The sequence below is a fragment of the Homo sapiens genome, chromosome 3 (genome assembly GCF_000001405.40).
Source record: "Homo sapiens chromosome 3, GRCh38.p14 Primary Assembly".
In the NCBI taxonomy this organism is placed as follows: domain Eukaryota; kingdom Metazoa; phylum Chordata; class Mammalia; order Primates; family Hominidae; genus Homo; species Homo sapiens.
Genome location: NC_000003.12, coordinates 6,826,666 through 6,849,041, shown reverse-complemented (window position 1 = coordinate 6,849,041; position 22,376 = coordinate 6,826,666). Strand labels below are relative to the sequence as shown.

The following is a 22,376-nucleotide window of genomic DNA, read 5'->3' as shown; positions in this document are numbered from 1 at the left end:
GGCTAAAAAAATCTTGTAGTCTTATACATTTCTCTCATTTATAAACTAAAGGAATTTTTCTCTCTGAGTTTTACCATTTATTTCAGCTCTAATTACATGCCATGATTCTATAACTATTGATAAAATATAAACTTGTATAATGTCTCCTCATGAGCTTTTATACTTATATTTGTGTTGCTTCTTGTAAAACACATTATTTTCCCATAAATCTAACAGTGATTAATGTTATAACTACAACTTGCAAGAAGGCATTGATAAAAACTGCTATAGAAATCTCTTTCCAACATTGACAAAGTCTTACTTAGGAAGTTAGGATCATATATGTCTTGCTCCTACTTGAGTGGCTGAAGTAAAGAGCACACCTCAGAAATCTTTGAATATAAAATACCATTTGATTCTCTTGCTTTCCTTACTCTTTAGAAGGTAACATTCCATAATTTTATCCCAAATAGCTTGCTCTATGCCATATTTGCCAAAGTCATGCCAGCTTCTTCACATCTTGTCACACACTCAGCAGTTATGAGGTAAGCTATTGGTTCCTGTGACATCTTTGGTTAATCTTTTTTTTTTTTTGAGAGTAGAGTTAAACTTTTGCTTATCATCAATTGATTTTTCTTTTCTTTTTTTTATTTCTTTTAATTTTTTAAAGAGATGGTGTCTGTCTATGTTGCCCACACTGGGCTCGAATGCCTGACCTCAAGCAACCCTCCCACCTGAGCTTCCCACAGTGCTGGGATTACAGGCATAAGTCACTGCACCTGGCCCACCCTCAAGTTTTTACACATGGGACAAAGTTTAAAGTCCCTGGGATGGTAGAGCTGCATTTCCTAGTTAATCCAGTCAGGAAAAATAGATGCAGAAACAACCAATCTGTTAAAGGTAACCCAATAGAATCAAGCAGTTAACAACCAGAATACTTATTTCCAGAGAAACTCAAAATGTGTGATATACCTGACAGAGTTTGGGCATTTATGACTCAATTATAACTAAATGGATTCTTTCGAGACTTCATGAAATCAAAAGATTGAATTATGGGGAGTTAAAACAACTTTAGAGGGTTGATAGAAATGTTCTACGTTTTGATTGGGATAGTGGCTACGTAGGTAAATCTATCTGTCAAAAGTAATGTCTTCATACACTTAAAATGTATGCATTTTCTTCATATAAACTATACTTCGAATAGGTTAGTAACCATTTTAAAACAGTAACAGTGGAGAAACATGACAAATACTACCTACCTCAATCAGGTGACTAAAGTTAACATAAACAGTGGTAAACCAGGTCGATAGTACATACCCTTGATACAATGTGATAAAATTGGCACACTACTTCTGTCGTCTTCCTCCTACAAGACCATAACCCTATTTTAATTATGAGAAAAACATCAGTGAAATACAAATTGAGGGACACTCTATAAAATACCTGATCAACACTTCTCAAAAGAGCCCATGTCGGCTGTGTGCAGTGGCTCACGCCTATAATCCCAGCACTTTGGGAGGTTGAGGCAGGTGGATCAAATGAGGCCAGGAGTTTGAGACCAGCCTGGGCAACATGGCAAAACACTATCTCTGCTAAAAATACAAAAATTAGCTAGGCGTGGTGATGCACGTCTGTAGTTCCAGCTATTTGAGGGGCTGAGGCAGGAGGCTGGCTTGAACCCGGGAGGTGGAGGTAGCAGTGAGCCAAAATCATACCACCGCACCACTTTACTCCAGCCTGGGTGACAGAGTGAGACTCTGTCTCAAAAAGAATAGTAAAAATAAAAAGAGCTCATGTCACCAGAGACAAGGAAAGCCTGATAATTTGTCACAGCTAAGAGGAGTCTGAGACATGATGACTAAATGGAATGTAATTGTTTGGGTGGGATCCTGGGTCAGAAAAAGGACCTTAGGGAAAAATCAAGAAAATTTGAATAAAATATAAAATTTAGTTAACAATAATGTATCAATATTAGTTCATTAATTATGATTTATTAATAAAAATGTTAATAATAGAAAAATCTAGATGTGGGGTATACTGGAACTCAGTGCTATCTTTGCAACTTCTCCATAAATCCTAAGCTCTTCTCTTAAAGTAAAAAAAAAAAAAAAAGTTTATTAAAATTGCCTTGAATAGACATATGTAAAACATCTGCAAATTCATATATGTATATGGAAGAGGCAGTATTAGGGTAATCATATAATTATTGTCCAAACCTGGGCATGTTTTAAAGTGGATGCTGTTAATAACCATTTAAGGATAGGAAGATAAAGTATAGGTCACCCTAAGTGGAAAGCATATTAAATATTCAAGTTTTGATTTTACACTTCCTGTGTTTCAGTCCAATCTCTGCCACTTGCTTGTTTTTATAAATTACTTTACTGAACATTATTTCCAATTTGGGAAGGACAGTAATATTTTCCTTACCACGTTTGGGAGGATTAAATAAGATAATTAAATTAAAGTGTTTAGTTAACACAATTACTGGCACATAATAAATGCTCAATAAATCATAGATGGCATTTATGCATATCTAGACCTTTGTACATTTTGTTAAAAGGTACCTACATAGTTACACAGAATTCTACACTAATGTGTCCTCTTGATTTTCATCCTAACCCAACAGTGGTCATACCAATACTTACTCTTTGACAGTTAGCATAGATGTCACCAACAACATACATGTTCCACTGAGTATTTGTTAGGAGATTGAAGGACATTTGCAGTAATGTTAATGAAGACAAAAAATAATAATAGTAAATAATGTTGGTTACATGGCCTTTTTTCCTTTGAGTAACTCTCCCCATCTTACTTCTCCTGATCTTGTTGGATCTGACAGTCTGAGTTCCAGCACCTAGATGCAGATGTAGCTCATGGACGTGACTGAAGCACATCCTCTTAGATACAATGATTGGTTCAGAAGTAGACTTAAGACTACAGCAGAGTCAATCAGACTCATGTAGGGAAGAGAGGTAACGCTTGTCATTGCATTCATGACTTGTAATGATGTTAACCCCAGGCTGACAATAGTCTTCTTTGCCATAGTATGAAAAGACATTTCCTGAGGATGAAGCCAATTTAGAAGCAAGCAAAACTAAGAGGTTAAGAGAAAGATAGAGTGGGCTGGGCACAGTAACTCATGCCCATAATCCCAAGCACCTTGGGAGGCTGAGGCGGGCAGATCATGAGGTCAGGAAATCAAGACCATCCTGGCCAACATGGTGAAACCCTGTCTCTGCTAAAAATACAAAAATTAGCTGGGCATGGTGGTGTGTGCCTGTAGTCCCAGCTACTCAGGAGGCTGAGGCAGGAGAATCGCTTGAACCCGGGAGGCGGAGGTTGCAGTGAGCCGAGATCATGTCCCTGCACTCCAGCCTGGTGACAGAGCAAGACTCTATCTCAAAAAAAAAAAAAAAAAAAAAAAAAGAATGTGCAAACAGTAGGTGAAAAGAAGGACAAAGTCTTCGGTTTGATTCTGGACATTTTCCTCCTCCATTATCGTCTCTATTTCAATCTGCTATGAGGTCATTTTTCTCTGATGCCTTGTTTGTCCTTGAAGAACAAACTTGCAAGATAACCCATACACTCCCTCTTTATTTGTTCATTATTCCTGCATTAAAATTCAAGGGGATTTCTGCCCCCTCCTTGTTGTACCTGTTTGTCTTTTATCTGTATATCTGTCACTTTGCTGTCTCTTTGCATTTCTAATTTCTTGTCCACATTTGCTCAATGAGAATATTCACTGTAATCACCAGATCTCTTTCCTCTGCAAGTGATAGAAACCTAGTGCAAACTAGATGAAGCAAAAATGGAATTTTGTTGACTCATCTTACCAGATAGCAAGAAAAAACTAGCTTCAGATATGGCTAGATCTAGGTGCTTGAAAAAGTCACGAGACTTTTTTTCTTTCAGAGTCCTCTTACCTTTGCATTTCTTTGCTTGTTCACTTTATTCCTTCTTGCTGTGTGGCCAGGCTCTCTGCACCTGCACACAAGACAGACAAGCATACTACCATCTGCCTTACGGAATCCTTAAAGGTTAAAATACAAAGTAATAGAGAACTCTATGCCAATGTCCATAGAACAAATATTAAAAATATCATAAACATAATCTGATTGGACAAAATTGAGCCATGTTTTCTTTCAGGAAGTGATCAGCCATTGTGGTTGAGACACTCACCACAACTATGCTCATGATAGAGGAGCAATTCCACACTGAAAATAGCAGGTGTTTACTCAATATAAAGTAAAATGTGACTAAAAATAAATAAATAAGCCAAAAAATAACATTTTTATTATAACAATGGGAAACTGATTCATGAATTTCTCTAGTTTTAGGTAGTAAAGGAATAGGCTTGAGACAGAAGCTACATAGAATGCTACAGTGTTCTGTAAAATAGTCCTTTCTTCATGAGGTTTTCCATTTTTCACTATAAAACATGTCTTGCCAAACCATCAAAGATAAATATTTAATTATTTTCTGCCCAACATTTCTAGGGTCACATATAGAAATTAGCAAGAGCTGAGTTCTATTAAATTACAGTACTAAACATTTTTCTTGACTCATCACACCGACTAGGCATATAGTCAACTCACATTCAGCCTGCTTTACCTCTTTGCATTAAACTATGAACCCACACTTTCCTCACTTCTTACAGTCCCAATTATAATTCTTAGAATTCCTAAAATAGCTCATTGTATTCCTTAAAACCCTGGAACAAATGGCCATAAATGAAAATTATCATATGGTCAGATACCTTCAGTCAGGTCTCTCAGTTCTAATTTACATCTTACATCATCAAGATTAGTGATTCTCAGCTAAGATGATGTCACTCCCCAAGGATATCTGGCATTATGTGGAGACATTTTTGATTGTCATGACTGATATCTCTTCTGTTATCTAGTGGGTTGAGGGCTGAGATGGTGCTTAACATTTTATGAAGCAAAGGACAGCAACAACAACAAATTATTCAGCCCCAAATTTCATTGGGGCTGAGTCTGACAAAACCTGGTCTAGATTAATAACTCTCCAGGGATTATGAACAAAATCATCACATCTCCATCACTTTATTCAACATGCACAATATATTCAAATAGGTGGATGAATAATTACATGAAGGCAACATGCAGTAGAAAATAATAACCATTAATGATCTCAGCCTTCTTTATAGCTCATTTCTTTCATTTTTTCTATTTTTGTCAAGCCTTCATGTTCTTTATGGCATTCCAGTTGAGCTCTTAGATCTTCAACAGAATATAAAAGTGAAATAAAAAACATGGTGCACTAAAACTCAAGAAACCCTGGTACTAGTTCCAATTATGTCTTGTATTAGAGTTATGACTTCGTAAAATAATTTACTTCCTTAGAAACATGATTTCTACTTGTTTAATATAAAATATTTAGATTAAATCATTATTTTAAGTACTTTTTCATGTAATAAAGAAAAACAAAATGTAAAAAGAAACCTACAGAAACACAAAGGTGAAAAAAAAAAAATTCAAGAAGCCAGGACCCCTACTGATTCAGCTTGTCTCTCTTTCCCAACAATGGCACCAAAAGGGAGATTCTTCTAAATTCATTTTGTTAATCACTGAATTCGTTGACTTCTATTTTTCTTCCGAGTTCTGTGTTTGATGAATAAAACAAAATTTATTCATTGTAGGTTCCATTTTTTTAATAAAGCAGGAAATTTCCCCTGACTCCTTCACAGATGGGAACTGGAGTGAGGGCAATGGGGCTAGCCCACTGCTTTGGTGCCAGCAGGGTCAAACTCCACTTACTTGAATCCATTGTGTTCAACTCCTTGCAGGAGGGAGCATTTAGGTGAGAGGGTGCAGGATCCAGGGCAAGTGCCTTTGGGCACGGCAGGTGCAAAAATTCCATGTAAGGCCTGTGGCAGTGTCTAGCAGGGAGTATCCACAATCCTCAAAGCCCCCAGAGGGCATGTGTTACAGTGCTCTTTTAGTTTTGCCATCCACAACAGCTTAGGTGTTAGACAACTCAGTGGGCCCTCTGGCTTTTCACGTGAGGTGGTGGTTCTCCACCAGTGAGGGCAGAGGGTCAGGATAACAGCCTTTAGTGTCCATACCTGTGACACTGAGCTCTTATTGGGTGTCCAGGAAAAAATAAGGTCACACAAAAGAATTGAAGGGTTGTCAATGTGGAAGATTTTATTGCTGATGAAAATGACTCTCAGCGGGAAGGGGAGCTGGAGAGGGAAGGAAGAAGGAAGGTGATCTTCTCCCAGCATCCAGCTGTCCGCGGCTGGACTCCTCTCCAAAGCAACACCGGCAAGCCAACCCTCTGAAGTCAAGCTGCTTGTCTCTGACGTCAAACTGTAGTTTCTGACGTCTAGCAGCTTCTCCTCTTCTCTGCCTCTCTTTCTTTGCTGGTGGAGCCTGGGGATTTTACGGTTACAGGCTTGGGGGTGGGGTGGGCCACGGGTGGTTTTAGAAAAGTCAGCGTTCAAGCAGGAAAACAAGAATGCCTGTTCTCACTTTGGGCTGCGGTTCCAGACTTGAGCATGGCGTCCTCACCAGGGAACTGCCCTCTTCTGCCCAGAATTTTCCTGCCTCCTGTCTCTATCAATAACACTTTGTTCTCTATTGAGAACTAAGGCTTACCTAATAAACTAACTAAATGATCTTAGATACCATAATATGGTTACATTTCTGAGGTAAATACATAGGGGCTTCTTCAGAAATGATTCTGAGACCTACAGTCTCACGCACAGTCAATATAGTACAGGTGAGATTTTAGGTGACAACACCATTTTGTTTCTGTCAAATTATTTGAGGAGAAGGCTTATTCAAGGTTTGCCTAAAAGGGACAGTTCTAATATGCCAAGCCACAGAGAAAACCATGTTCCAGAGACAGGGAAAAGAGATGGAAGATCTTTCCCAGCAGCAATCACTTGATACAGGAAAAAATATGTTTAGCAAATAAAACAAAATACTTCTAAATTCTAAAATAATAAAACAAAATTAAAATTACAAAACAAAATTTTCTTTGTTAACCAATGGATCCTTTTAACAATGTTTACACAAAAATCTGCAAAAGAGATTTTGGAATGCCAGAAAATGAGCAACAGTATAAAACTGGCAAGAGTATTTACTAAGATTTTTTTTCTCCATGTTTTCTCTTCTCTTAATCAGCCTTAGCAATTACATCTAACTTAAGACTGCCTGTTAGATTTTCCCTTTGTTGCATCTTTCCTTGATGTTTTGGTGAGGAAAATGAAAATCAATAGAAATTCTGTGGCATGGCCCTGACAGTATTTGACTGTATGCATGGCTTCAGAAGTGCTTTATTTAGACTGAGTTAAAATTGATAGGGTTCAGAACATGCTTCACCCAAAATATGGTGCTTTGGCATATTGAATGTTTGAAGCTGAAGGAATTTGAGAAACAAGAGGTGCAGTAAGGACCTTTTCACCTTCCCATGGAGCAAGTTGGAAGACCCTCATTTGAGAAGTGTCCTCCTTATCTTTAAGACAGAGGCTGTTCCCCTAGCTCACGACTCATGGCTCCTACAACTTTGTCCAATCACATTTTTTCATGGCTTTCTACTGTAACTGCCCAAAGGGTTTTTCATTGCCCATTGCCCAGATAGAGCCAATTTATCAAGGCAGGAGAATTCCAACAGAGAAAGAATTTTGCACACATTGAGTAGACCAAATAGAAGGCTGGAGTTTTATTATTACTCAAATCAGCCTCTCCAACCATTTGGAGGCTAGGTTTCAAAGGTAGTTTGGGGGAAGGGGCAGGGGTGCAGGTGGGAAGTGGTCTTCTTGTGCATTGAGTGGCTTCTGGAGTGGGCCACTTAGGAGCAGTTGGCAGGTGCAGGTGGAGCGATTGGTAGAAGGATTTGCAAAAAAAAAAAAAAAAAAAAAACCTGAAAAGCTGTTTCAAAAGGCCAATCTTAAATTCTACAATAGTAATGTTATCTGCTTGAGTAATTAGGGAAATTGCCTATCTTGTGACCTACAAAATAATGACTAGCAATTGTTTATGTCTATACCTCAGCGGAATTCAGGCTCCTCTATTCACCTAGCCTGGAGGTCTCTCATTAGCTTTACAAAGGCAGTTAAGTTTTGGGGAACGGCTGTTATCATTTATACTACAAACTAAATGTCTCTCATTAGTTTGCTTGGCTTAATCTCAGAAATAATTAAGGGTATTTTGAAGGCCAAAGGCAAGATGAGGATTGACCAGATCAGATCTCCCCCATTGCCATAATTTTCTCACTGATATAATTTGTGAAAAGGTGGTTTTACTACTTTGTTTTTCAAACCTAGTATAAAAACATTCAGGTTTAGCTGTTTATTTGGGTCTTCATTTCTTTATGAAGCTCCAGTGCTACATAAAACCTATATTAAATAAATTTGTACCCTTTTTTTTCATTAACTCATCTTTTATTACAGTTCCCAGAAGAGAACCGAGAAGGGTTGAAGGAAAATATTTTTTCTCCCTACAGTTTCTGGTAATAAGGATGAGATACCATTGTCCAGGACATCTTTCTCAGTCCAGAAGCTGCAGCTGAAATCTGGAAACTTGCCCAGGCGCCGTGGCTCACACCTACAATCCCAGCACTTTGGGAGGTGGAGGCAGGAGGATCACCTGAGGTCAGGAGTTCAAGAACAGCTTGACCAACATGGTGAAACCCCAGCTCTACTAAAAACACAAAATTAGCTGGGTGTGGGGTACATGCCTGTAGTCCAAGCTACTCGGAAGGCTAAGACAGGAGAATCACTTGAACCCAGGAGGCAGAGGCTGCAGTGAGCAGAGATCACACCACTGCACTCCAGCCTGGGTGACACAGAGCAAAACTCAAAAAGAAAAGAAAAGAAAAGAAATCTGGAAACTTTAACAAAGTTGGCAAAAGGTAAACATTCTTTAAAGGGTTAATTGGGCTTGAATTTGATTCACAATTGGAATAGGTATACTTTGAAGATTTGGACTTGTACATCCAAAGGATTTTTCTTTCTTGAGGGCTCCCATTCTAAACAAATGTCCCTTAAGTGTCTATAGAAATATCAAATTGAAAGAAAGGAAAAATGAAAAAGAAACAATTTCTTAACTGGTCTGAGAAAAACACATGAAAACACCAAAAAACTCCCTTAAAAAGATTAGGAGGTAGAGCTCAGACTTAGAACAAAAGTTATGAATTGCAAAAGGCACTCAGAAAGGCTGAGACTTAGGTTAAAAGGGATAGCCAGCAAATAGCTTTGAAAAAGGCCCCAGGGAACCCAGCAAGGCTGTTTTACAGTCCCTTATAAAGTCCACTTATTTCATGAGACTCTATAATCAAACTTTTTCAGCTCTAGGCCTTCCCATTCAAATTACTTTGTAAATGTATTTTGGACCCCAATCATAAAAATGTACTTAATGAGGGGAAAAATCTTTTTTTTTTTTCTGAGACAGAGTCTTGCTTTGTTCCCCAGGTTGGAGTGCAGTGGCGCGATCTCGGCTCACTGCAAGCTCCGCCTCCCAGGTTCCCGCCATTCTCCTGCCTCAGCCTCCCGAGTAGCTGGGACTACAGGCGCCCGCCACCATGCCCGGCTAATGTTTTTGTATTTTTAGTAGAGACGGGGTTTCACTGTGTTAGCCAGGATGGTTTTGATCTCCTGACCTTGTGATCCGCCTGCCTCGGCCTCCCAAAGTGCTGGGATTACAGGCGTGAGCCAGAAAAATCTTATATTATAATTACCCTAGATTTCTGACACTATAATAAGCAAATATGTTTCTTAATTCCTTCTTGGAGAAAACCTACATCATTTCTCTTTCACTTGGAGATATAAATCTTACCATCTCTTTGGAAATGCAAACTTTCAAAAAGGTAACTCTTGCATTCAACTCAGATGGAGAAACAAGGGAGACATTTTGGAAATAAACTGCTAGTTGATATTTTCACAGCATCCCTCACCCCAAATGTAGTCCACAGCTTCCATAAAATTACTTATCAAGCTCATATGAAATTCTTAAAAGTCTTTTTCACAAATATTGCTAAAAAAGCTTTAGCTTCCATTGAGCAAGTAATCTTGACTTATTTGCTCCAACTGCTAGAAATGTAATAAGACAAAGATGAGAATCAACTCTTATATAAATAAGCAAATTTTGTGTTTCTGTATCTATACCTCATTTATGGCTAAAATTTACAATGAAAGCTATAAAATCTCTATTGGCATCTGTCTGTATATTTATGAGTGTATGTATGTTATGTGTAATACTTTCTATCCCTGAATGGTTGAAAATTAATTTTAGAAATTAATTAATTTCTACCATAGTCATTTATAAAATTTTCAAAAGAAATTATATTCAAATTGGCTTTGAGATAAATGCACACTTATATAAATTGTCACAGGTACATCTGGTTGGGACTGGTGTCATGGGCAGTAAAATAATTTACCAAGACAGTCATGGGCGAAGAAAGGCAGATTTATTAGAAAAGACAGGAGATACGTTGCAAGAGTGCAATGGGCAGCACAGCAGAGAAAGGGCTGTCTGCCAAGAGGCAGGGACTGAAGGGAAGTACTAGGTAGGTTGTACTGGAGGGTCTATATGCAGATAAAGTATGCAGATAAGGTCTTGCTGCTGGGGCTGTGTGCAGAATGAGGTATTTGGGAATAGGATGTCATACCAGTGGGTTGTGTGTGATTAGCCGTTTCTCAGAACAATTGTTCTCCTCCATCTGGGACCTCTTCCTGGTTGCTGCTTACTTATCTTCTCAGGACTCCACATTTAGTACTCCTAAAAGTCTCAGAAATATAAAAACTAACCCAAATGCTTTTCAAGTTCATGTGGCTTATTATACTTAAAGTATAAACAAAAAAAGACTTAGTTTGCAAACGAATTAGTCCTACTTTGATTATCTTTGATAGAAATGGAGGTGACTATAGAGACAAAAATTATGTTTCAATGGCAAACAATGTCACATCATCTGAATTATACAATTCCATTCCCCCTGTTCATTGGATTTGAAGTTTTGTTATCTACTGTAAACTGGATGGATCCTGCTCAATTAGTTCGCTTCCTTGAAAATGTGGTTACAACTCTTCCACATTTTACATTTTTCTTTTACCCCCCTGATTTGGCACCTCTGAGAGCTAAAGCCTGATTGCTCACATCCTTATTTGGAATACCTAAAGAAGCCTTGCAAGCTGAAACTGGGCACTTCCATACTTTGTTCTGAGAATAAACATAATGGTGTGGTACAGTTTGGAGATTTCTACCCTCCAAATCTCATGTTGAAATTTCATCCACAATGTTGGAGGTGGGACTTAATGGAAGGTGTTTGCATCATGTGGGCAGACCCCTCATGGATGGTTTGCTGCTGTTCTTGTGGTAATGAGCAAGCTCTTGCTCTATTTGTTCCCATAAGAACTTATTATTTAAAAGAGCATGGCACCTTCTTCCCCTCTCTCTTTTCCTTCTCTCTTGTCATTTGACATGCCTGCTGTCCTTTGCCTTCCAATGGGCGGAAGTTCCCTGAAGCCTTCACTAAAAGCAGATGCTGGTGCCATGCTTCTTGTACAGCCTACAGAACTGTGAGCCAAATAAGCCTTCTTTCTTTGTAAGTTATCCAGCTTCAGGTATTCTTTTACAGCAACACAAACAGGCTAAGACACAGTGCCATCACTAGAGGCATTCAAACTGCAAACCCAAAAATATGTTGGATGTCCACTGTTACTGTCACTCCACCATCTCAGGATACTTTCAGCTCAATATCTAGAAATTTTTAAATTGCATTCTGGATTCAAAAACTGAGTTTATAGCTTGTTTTAACAATTAACCTTTTTTTATTTGTGTTTTCATAGAAATACCCCTACTTAAATGCCTTATTGCTCACACCTCATGGAGGTTTAACTTGGGTAGGCAACCTACTTCTGCCTATACTACTGAGTCCAGAAATAAGACACAGCTCTTTAAGCAGAGGAATCTAATCCCAGGACTGAGAGACTGGTTCAGTGACGTATGGGACAATCTGCCAGCTCACTTTCTGGGCTGTAAAAGCTTTGGGGAAAAGTTTCAGATGGAGATATCATAGGGTTCAGAACATACTACCCCAAAATATGGTGCCTTGATATATTGAATGTTTTAAGCTGAAAGAATTTGAGAAAGAGTAAGTGTGGGAATGACTCTGACTTTTCCCTGAAGAAATCATAAGACTTTTGTATGAGAGGTGCCCTTCCTGTACCTGGGAGAAAGCAGCATCCTTATCTCTGAAGATGAAGAGAGAGAGGATGAGAGGTATCTAAATGAACAAGCCTTGATAAGTCAACCCCAGTTTACCAGTCTTATCTCATACCTCCTAATCCTACCATATTTTTTCATAACTTTGTACTCTTCATCAAACCTAGTATAAAAATAGTCAGGTTTAACCATTTTTTCTTTGGGATCTTCATTTCATTTTGGAGTATCCCATGTCACATTAGACTTATAGTGAGCAAATGCACCAGGTGTGGTGGTGCACGCCTGTAATTCCAGCACTTGGGGAAGCCAAGGTGGGTGGATCACTTGATCCCAGGAGTTCAAGACCAGCCTGGGCAACATGGTGAAACCCCATCTCTACAAAAAATACAAAAGTTAGTTGGGTGTGGTGGTGCATATCTGTTGTCTCAGATACTTGGGAGGCTGAGGTAAGAGGATTGTTTGAGCCTGGGAGGCAGAGGTTGCAATAAGCTGAGATTGTACCTCTGTACTCCAGCCTGGGAGACAGAAAGAGACTCCATTTCAAAACTTAAAAAAAAAGAAAATAAAATGCTTTTTTTGTTTGTTTGTTTGTTTTTGTTTTTTTTTTAGTTAATCTGTCTTTTCTTATAGGCCTCAACTGAGATCCTAGAAGTGTATAAGGAAAATATTCGTTTTCCTCCCCTACAAAACTATTGAAATGTTAATACTTCGAATCTGGTTAAACCTATTCAGTGCTAGAAAGAATTCACGCCTCAACTCATACAAAGTTTTTCTTCAAGCTATCAAATTATTTCTTCTTTCTTTCTTTCTTTCTTTCTTTCTTTCTTTCTTTCTTCTTTCTTTCTTTCTTTTGTTTGTTTTGAGACAGAGTCTTGCTCTGTCACCTAGGCTGACGTGCAGTGGTGCAATCTCAACTCACTGCAACCTCTGCTGCCTCCTAGGTTCAAGCAATTCTTGTGCCTCGGCCTCCCGAGTAGCTGGGATTACAGGCATGTGCCACCATACCTGGCTAATTTTTGTATTTTTAGCAGAGATGGGGTTTCACCATGTTGGCCAGGCTAGTCTCAAACTCCTGACATCAAGAGCTCAAGAGATCCACCCACTGAGGCCTCCCAAAGTGCTGGGATTACAGGTGTTAGCCACCATGACTGATCTCCTTCTTTTTTCTTTCCTTTCCTTTCTTTCTGTGTAGTGTCAAATACCTTGGCTTTCTTAAACTTTCAAAACAAAATTTCCCAAGTAACTATTGTAGAATATTAATCCCCAAATATGTTCATTTATTAAAAACTAGATGACCAATTACACACTCTTGTGGATATTTTTTGTTCTTACTTGCCAAACAAATTTTCTGAGAAGTCTTGCAGTAAAAATAATGTTAAATTGTCTTCCCAAGTTATTTCACTGTGGGACTATGTCCCAACATTTTCCTGTATAGTTTTTCAAGTAATAGCTATTAGCACCTGTGAAGGTAGCAGGAAAAACTGGAAAATATTGGTCTTTGATTTTTATCTTCCTTCCCTTCTCTTTTATTTTTTTCAAAATCTTTTGAATCTGCACTTTGACCCTTTAATATGCTACTCCCTTAGTAGCAAAAGCACTTTTGCAAGAATCTCCAGTGATTCTGAATTTTTTATTTAAATAATGTCTTTTAATTCTCCACTCTAACTGGGTCTCTGTAGTGTATATAAAACCATCCATTACTCATTACTTGATTATCTTGTGCCCCCCGTCAAGATTTAAAAAATATACATTTCTTGATTTTCATCCTATATGTCTTGCTATGATTTGAATGTCCCCTTCAAAACTCCTGTTGAAACTTAATCCCAATGCGCAAGTATTGAGAGATGGGATTATGAAAAGTAACTGGATCATGAGGACTCTGCCCTCATGAATTGATTAATCCCTTCATAGAGTAATGGATTAATGCATTGTCATGGGAGGGGAACTAATGGCTTTATAAGAAGAAGAAGAGATCTGAGCTAGTGTGTGAGTCTGCCAAGCCCGCTCACCTGATAGCCTGCATCACCTCAGGACTCCTTGGAGAGTCTACACCAGTAAGAAGGCTCTCACAGATCCAGCCCTCAACCTGGGCTTAGCCTCCATAATTGTAAGAATAAGTCTCTTTGCTTTATAAATTACCTAGTTTTTGGTATTCTTTTATAAATAACAGAAAGTGAACTCATACACGTCTCCACCAAGAGCATGATTCCATCAGGACTCTATCCTTAGTTCTATTATTTCTTTTGTTTTATTCCCTTTCTTTGTGTGATTTCATTCACTACATGTTTTTTAGTTATAATGATTGGATGCTAATGACTCAAACCAGTATTTCCAGCCCAGACTCCAGTCTTGATCTTGAGAATCAAATTTTAGTCCTTTCCAAATACTACTCAAAGTTTCCTGGGTAGGAAACTTTCTCTCCCTCACTCCTTCGCCTCCCCTCCGCTCCCCTCTCCCTCCTCCTCCCCCTCCCCTCCCTCTCCCTCTTCTTCTCATCCTCCTTCTTCTCCTCCTGCTTCTTCTCTCTGTCGCCCAGGCTGGAGTGTAGTGCCATAATCACTGCTCACTGCAGCCTCAACCTCCTGGGCTTAAGCAATCCTCCCCTCTCTACCTCCTGAGTAGCTGGGACTACAGGCATGCACCACCATGCCTGGCTACTCTTTTCTGATTTTTTTTTAGAAACAGGGTTTCACCATGTTGCCCAGGCTGGTCTCAAACTCCTGGGTTCAAGTAATCTACCTGCCTCGGCCTCCCAAAGTGCTGGGATTATAGGCATAAGCAACTGTGCCTGGCCTCCTTCTTTCTTTCTTTTTTTTTTAGAGCAGCACTTATTATAGTGCCTTTATAATTGCTCAGTTCTAATTCTTGTTGGTTAAATCAAAATTTAGAACCAAATAAGCTACATGGATTAGTAATTCATTTAAGAGTTTGAAGTCAGATTAATTTGCCATTGGTCAAATCACTTAATTTATTCAGCTCTCAGTTTCATCTGAAAATTGGAGAAGGTGGACTGGATAATTGCTCTAGAGCTCACTATTAGCGTTACACTTCTTTTTTTTAATTTTTCTGTTATCTTTTTTTAAAAAATAAAAAAAATGTTAAAAATTATTTAAAACAAGAGAAGCTTTGCCTATGAAGTTATGGTATTTCAGTACAAATATATAAATTTAATAAACTTTTCTGAGTGCCAAATTAGTGTCAGGCATTGGGGTAGACATTTTAAAATGAATAAAACATGCTAAAGATAAGTAGAAAAAAAATTCTAAAGAAAGTGATTTACATCTCTATTTAAAGTTTACATTCTCCATATATGAGTTAAAAAATATGTTCTACCAAGTCTTAATTGAAACTAAAAAGAGCTTAAAAAGTGACTGAAAAACATCATAAATTTATTGTTAAGGGAACCACTGAAGAAATGTATAATACTGAAAGCTTTTATAATTTTGAAACTTCAAATAAAATTTGTCCTAGTTTCAAAGACTTAAGAATACAGTCTTCTTTAAAAAATATTTGGACCATTTTAACCACTAAATAATTATTTCATTTTTGGTTTGTCATAAATTTTGAAAAAATTAAGGAAAGTCAGAAAATAATACTGGCCTAATATTGACCAGAAATGCTGTAAGGTCAGATAATGTCACCTATCTACTCATTTTCCATGTTAATGGAGAGGTTATGAATAAGGCATGTTGCATACAGTAGTTCATAAGTGAAAACCATCTGCAATAGCATTGGACGCTCTGCTGGTGTAAAGTTATCACAGTATTTCAGAGCCACATATATGAATCAGAAATCTCAGGGGATTGAGAGATATTTCAACTTAACTCTTCACACTGGAGTGAAGAACAATAAGAAAAAATTGTAACTGATATAGATTGACAATCAGTGATAAGGGCACACATTTTATCCAGCTATTTTTATGGTTTTAAAACTTGGTCAAAATTATGCAGAAAATATTACATAAAATACTGCAAAAAAATATATAAAAGTAAGTGAGATAGGGAACTATTTCTAATAGTTGAAGCCATATATTTTAAATTTTTGTCTTTATGGAATTCTAAGCATAGAAAATATTGATGGTGTGTGTTATCCCTTTTTGGACCCTTTTTGCATTCAGGGACCAGACCTTATTCAACATGATATTCTCAATACATAGCAGAGTATGTGCCCACAAGAAGGTGCTCCAAAAGCTGATGAATCTAGTTGCGCTGAAAGAAAACAGGAAAGAAATATGCGATATATTCATGATAGTAATTACTATGACAAAAATAAGTGTGTAAATACAGTAGAATCTCTTTTAACTGGTCCCCACTTAAATAACCCATTGGATTAACTAAGAATTATACTTTTCATTATAAAACATAACACTATGTTGATCATCTAAGGAATGCCCAAGGCTACTTAATTATATTCTAGTATTCTCACATTTCTGCTACCCCCAGATAAGCTGTATACTTATCAAGAATCATTTTTCTTCCCAGATCTGTTTTTTTTCTAAGTGTACTTTTTATTACTTCCTTCATTATTTATATAAGCTAATGGAATATGAGCATGGAAAGAGAGCGGTTCCTATGAAAACTATGTTTAATGGTTTCAAAATACTAATAAAGGCAAGTTACAAAAAATATTCTTGAATTATGTGCAGAAAAAGAAGAATAAAAAAGATTGGGAGTGAGAATAAAGATCTCTGAGGACTGTAATCTTGCATTGTTTCACAAATATGTCTGAGTTCTCATTTCACTTAAAAAAAAACAACGGGGAAATAAATGACAATACATTATGAGTATAGTTTATACAAGGAAAGGAACATAGCTCTTTAATCAGCAAACTCATTGAAATAAATTTAGTCCTACTTCAAAATATTGGAAAATGAACGACAGCTTAAATAGTGTATCTTTATAAAACATTTCATGATTTATATGACTTAAATGATTTTTCTTATTAATTGATCAATTAGACTAATCATGTTGAATAGAATACTTCCATTCTATCCAATTTAAGCATGATATATGATACCAAAAATCTATTTTAAAAATACTTCCCCCGGGTACCTCTTCTTTCTGGTAAGTCCATTTCTTTCTTTTTACTCATTCTACCGTGACAACTTGGCCATGAAATTTATCACCCCAGGTAAAAATAGGGTACATTCAGCCCAGAATAATGCAATCACTGTTCAGTTTCAAGTTGACTTCAAAGTGACTTGTTTTTCCCCATGGCAAAAACAGTTTTCATATCCTGACTATGTCAACAGCAATATCAGAATCTCAATATTCCAAAGAATTTTGTACCTAATAAGATAAATGCCAGTGTTGGATCAAAAAATATGTATCAGGTATGCTTTAGTTAGTGGCCTTTCAATCACTTATAGATAATTTTTTAAAAATTCTGTTCTTTCTAAAAAGGTACTTAGAAAGTTTTATTTGCGTTGTTTCTGAGGTCTGCTTTTAAAAATCATGTTGTGATGCATTTTTTCTGCTAAATACCCTGAAAGTTATTCCCTCTGAAAAGGAATTGCTAACAGGCATTTGCATTTGGGGAGCGAGAGATCAGATTGCTTTGTCTAAGAAGAGAGTAGTCACGAGAGGCATCAAGCCTACACAGAGTGGGAGAGGGGTCCAGAAGTACTGAGATGCCTCCAGAGGAAGAGCTGAGGCATGAGGGCCAAACTTGTGGAGGGGCTGGAGCCATTATGGTGAGGGAATAGGTAGAGTTGGTACGGATGCCTTAACATGGATGGTCTATGTTAGGGCCTGAAGGGTGGCATTTCTGAGACTGAGAAGTTCTGAAGTAACAATGGAGTCAAGTTACTGGGGAAAGAGAACCGCTATACTATGAATAGTCCATGAGTGATAAGTCCACGAGCCTCAAGATTCAGCAACATATAAGGCAAGATGTGAAACCACAGCTCAGAGTTCAGCTGAGCCATTACTCTTCTGGAATTTATCTGAACCAAGCAAGAGCAGAGCAGGTAGACTGGGGGCCATTTTCCCAAATCAATGGAGATAGATAGGTATCTCTACGCACCTAAAGTAGACCTGCATTGGGAAGGGGAATGATGGGACACCCTTTGAGATGGGTTCCTACAAATCCATTCTCCCCTACAATGAGTTTATAGGAAATTTAAGTTTTTCTGAGATTCGTTTATGGAGAAATAAGGAATCTGTATTCTATTCTTTCCAATATGAGTGGGAGTGTATACATCATTTTTTTACACATACACATACACACTCATTCAAATATGAAAACTAAGAAAAGGAAATGAAGGTATTGGAGAGGAAAACCATGTTTGTCTCTTCATAGAGAAAGCAATATGTATTCCACTGATTCTGCAGAAATTGCAGTGAACAAATATGTGTAGTACTTGCCTTGGTTTTACCTATTAAAATGATCTATGGGCAGTTCTGACAAATAGAAACTCTCTAATGTGCACCCTCAAAATGTCTTTATTTTCTGCTTATTTATTTATTTATTTTGAGACAAAAGTCTCACTCTGTTGCCCAGGCTGGAGTGCAGTGGTGTGGTCTCAGCTCACTGCAACCTCCGCCTCCCAGGTTCAAGCAATTATCCTGCCTCGGCCTTCCAAGTAGCTGGGACTTCAGGCGTCCACCACCACACCTGGCTAATTTTTGTATTTTCAGTAGAGGCTGGGTTTCACCATGTTGGCCAGGCTGATCTTGAACTCTTGACCTCAAGTGATCCGCTGTCTCGGCCTCCCAAAGTGCTGGGATTACAGGCGTGAGCCACTGCTCCTGGCCTTCATTTTCTAATTTTTTAAAGCTCACGGCTGATACATTGGGCCAGTACATTTAATAAGAACAATGACATCTGATCTCAGGAGACGTTTTATTGGAAGAGTTCTGTTTTCTTGTGAAATGCATAACATGTCCCTAATAAACCAGACTCCACCTTTTTGAGAGCACTAAGGCGTATTTTAAAGAATCAAATATTTAGCAAATCAACAGTTCTATCATCATGGTACCAAACAACCCATTTTACTTTTTTCTCCCCAAATATATTTTTTCATTATCTGAGAGCAAAGAAAGCAAATTGTTTTCTCATATTCTGGTATTAGAGGAATAGAATGTTTCATGTCCAAGCTCCCAAAATTGCTTTTTTTTTTTTCTTAAATTGATCATTGTTTTTTTTTTTTTTTTTTCTGTTTTTTATTGTACTTTAAGTTTTAGGGTACATGTGCACATTGTGCAGGTTAGTTACATATGTATACATGTGCCATGCTGGTGCGCTGCACCCACTAACTCGTCATCTAGCATTAGGTATATCTCCCAATGCTATCCCTCCCCCCTCCCCCCACCCCACCACAGTCCCCAGAGTGTGATATTCCCCTTCCTGTGTCCATGTGATCTCAACAAAGGGCTAATATCCAGAATCTACAATGAACTCAAACAAATTTACAAGAAAAAAACAAACAACCCCATCAAAAAGTGGGTGAAGGACATGAACAGACACTTCTCAAAAGAAGACATTTATGCAGCCAAAAAACACATGAAAAAATGCTCATCATCACTGGCCATCAGAGAAATGCAAATCAAAACCACAATGAGATACCATCTCACACCAGTTAGAATGGCAATCATTAAAAAGTCAGGAAACAACAGGTGCTGGAGAGGATGTGGAGAAATAGGAACACTTTTACACTGTTGGTGGGACCGTAAACTAGTTCAACCACTGTGGAAGTCAGTGTGGCGATTCCTCAGGGATCTAGAACTAGAAATACCATTTGACCCAGCCATCCCATTACTGGGTATATACCCAAAGGACTATAAATCTTGCTGCTATAAAGACACATGCACACGTATGTTTATTGCGGCACTATTCACAATAGCAAAGACTTGGAACCAACCCAAATGTCCAACAATGATAGACTGGATTAAGAAAATGTGGCACATATACACCATGGAATACTATGCAGCCATAAAAAATGATGAGTTCATGTCCTTTGTAGGGACATGGATGAAATTGTAAATCATCATTCTCAGTAAACTATCACAAGAACAAAAAACCAAACACTGCATATTCTCACTCATAGGTGGGAATTGAATAATGAGATCACATGATCATTGTTTTTTTAAAAAAATGCTCTTACATAATATTGTCAGAGAAATGTAGCAGTGAATTTAAAACAAACTTAGAATCTGTGAAGACTCACCTTTTTGAGAAGACTACCTTGGCTGTGATCACGTTCTCCTCATAACCTTCATGCTAATCAGACATGGATGTTTCCTAAAAGATACATAACCCTGAGTCAGTTATATCCTATTTGATGTAAGTAAGAATTACAGATTAATTCCAGAAAAATCCAAGAGGAGTAAAGTTCTTTCCATGAAGCTAATTTTGCTAAAAGAAATTATTTTTATGTCCTCCACTCTTTTATATTATTATCAATCTTTCTAACTTTCTTCTATTATACTTTCTAGTAGTTAATAGAACATTCTCTAGTTGCAGTTCAGTTGTTTTGTTTTCCAAATGTGTTTTATTCCCTGACCTAATGGGAAAATAAAGGTTTGCTTTTTCGCTAGCACTACACTTCCCAGGTAGCCATGGTCTCCTATGAGGTCACTAGAATAGCACAGAGATGTAGCATGTTGTATTGACTTGGTTCTCATTATAGCTGTTCAATTCAATGGTTGTGTTTTTTTTCCCCAAAAATCATTAGTAGTATTCAATTTCTACTATATACTGATAATTCAACCTTGAACAAATGGTTATAATTCTGCTTCTCATGGCAACTACATTCTAATGAAAGAAAGAGATGAAAAATACACAATAAATATATGCAAATATAACCTCTCATAAACTCTCATTTAAATAGTACTTAGGAAAAAAAGGGATATTGAGGAAGATAATACCAGAGGGTATGGTGAGGAAACCTATTTTCAATGAGGAAGGCAGGGAGGTGACATGATGGGTGAGACCGGGAGGCGAGAAAGGACTAATTGTAAGGGGGAAAGAAAGAGAGCAAAAAAGAAAGAAAGCAGGAAAAAAAGAAAAGGAGAGAAAGAGAGGAAGAAGGAAGGAAGGAAGGGAGGGAGGAACGAAGGGGAAAGGAAAGGAAAGGAAAGGAAAGAAAAGGAAGGAAATTGGTGTTTTTATCTGAGGAAAAATGTGAGACTAGATTTAGGAAAACAGCTTGGAGTAAAGAAGAACTAAAACAAGACCAGGGTAGCCACAGTGCCGTAGGAAAGGCAGAAAGTGACCTTGGATGAAGTTGGAGCCTTGGTAAATAGCCAGGACATAAGAGTCATGATAAGGCCTTGCTATAATTGCAAAAATGTTAGAGCTGTTAAATGTTCAGACGGGACAAAAAGTAATGGATTCTTTGTTACGTTTGTAGAATTCTGTAATGATAATTGCCTTCCAAACTCGTAAAATCCCGCCTATCACAAACCCATCTCCACTTGATGTCTCACTTGAAGCCATCCCTATCATCAGCTTCATAAAAATGCGAAGATGCCCATTGTACACGCTGTAAGATGTACAGTGCATTTTTTTCTAACCAGTGCTGTTCTCTTTAGCAGGAACAAGATCTTTCTGAGGTGCAACACTGTGAGCACACACAGTTCAACAGAATTACTTCAGGGCAGTGAACCCAGTCTACCTCTCAGATCTATGCTGCTATCCTCCTAATTGTGGTCCATCATAGCCACAGGCCATGGGTTCTAGAATCTGTTTCCTCACTGTAGTTTAAATTATAATTTCCATATTTATCTCATTTGTTATAACTTTCAAATCGATGATCCACTCTCCCTTTCTCTTATGGATAAATTAGCCAACCTATTTTACACTCTGTTAATTTTACCCTGTTTTTTTTTAGATGGAGTCTTGCTCTGTCACCAGGCTGGAGTGCAGTGGCACGATCTCAGCTCACTGCGACCTCCTCCTCCTGGGTTCAAGTGACCCTCCTGCCTCAGCCTCCCAAGTAGCCAGGATTACAGGCACGCGCCACCACACCCAGCTAATTTTTTGTATTTTAGTAGAGATGCGGTTTCACCATGTTGGCCAAGATGGTCTGGATCTCCTGACCTTGTGATCTGCCCGCCTTGGCCTCCCAAAGTGCTGGGATTACAGGCGTGAGCCACCACGCCCGGTCTGTTTTCATTTTTCTAAATCTCACTTTTGTAAAGCCCAGTTTATTAAATTATTTCCAAGAACAGTCAGAAATAATTGTGGTTATAACCAGAAAGTTTT

The 22,376-nt window shown here is 37.9% G+C and overlaps 1 long non-coding RNA gene across 2 annotated transcripts; it reads right to left on the bottom strand.

Moving 5' to 3' along the window:
- Window positions 1–1,217: 1,217 nt before the first annotated feature.
- Window positions 1,218–20,413, bottom strand: LOC105376945 (uncharacterized). 2 transcript variants are annotated; one of them, XR_940582.3, is made up of 3 exons: window positions 20,338–20,411; window positions 3,903–3,963; window positions 1,218–1,345 (listed from the first exon to the last, which is right to left on the bottom strand). It is a non-coding gene; the product is annotated as an uncharacterized LOC105376945 (long non-coding RNA). The 2 variants fall into 2 exon arrangements; XR_007095812.1 differs by lacking the exons at window positions 1,218–1,345; window positions 3,903–3,963 and adding an exon at window positions 15,720–16,378 and having other exon boundaries at window positions 20,338–20,413.
- Between the last annotated feature and the right edge of the window lie 1,963 nt (window positions 20,414–22,376).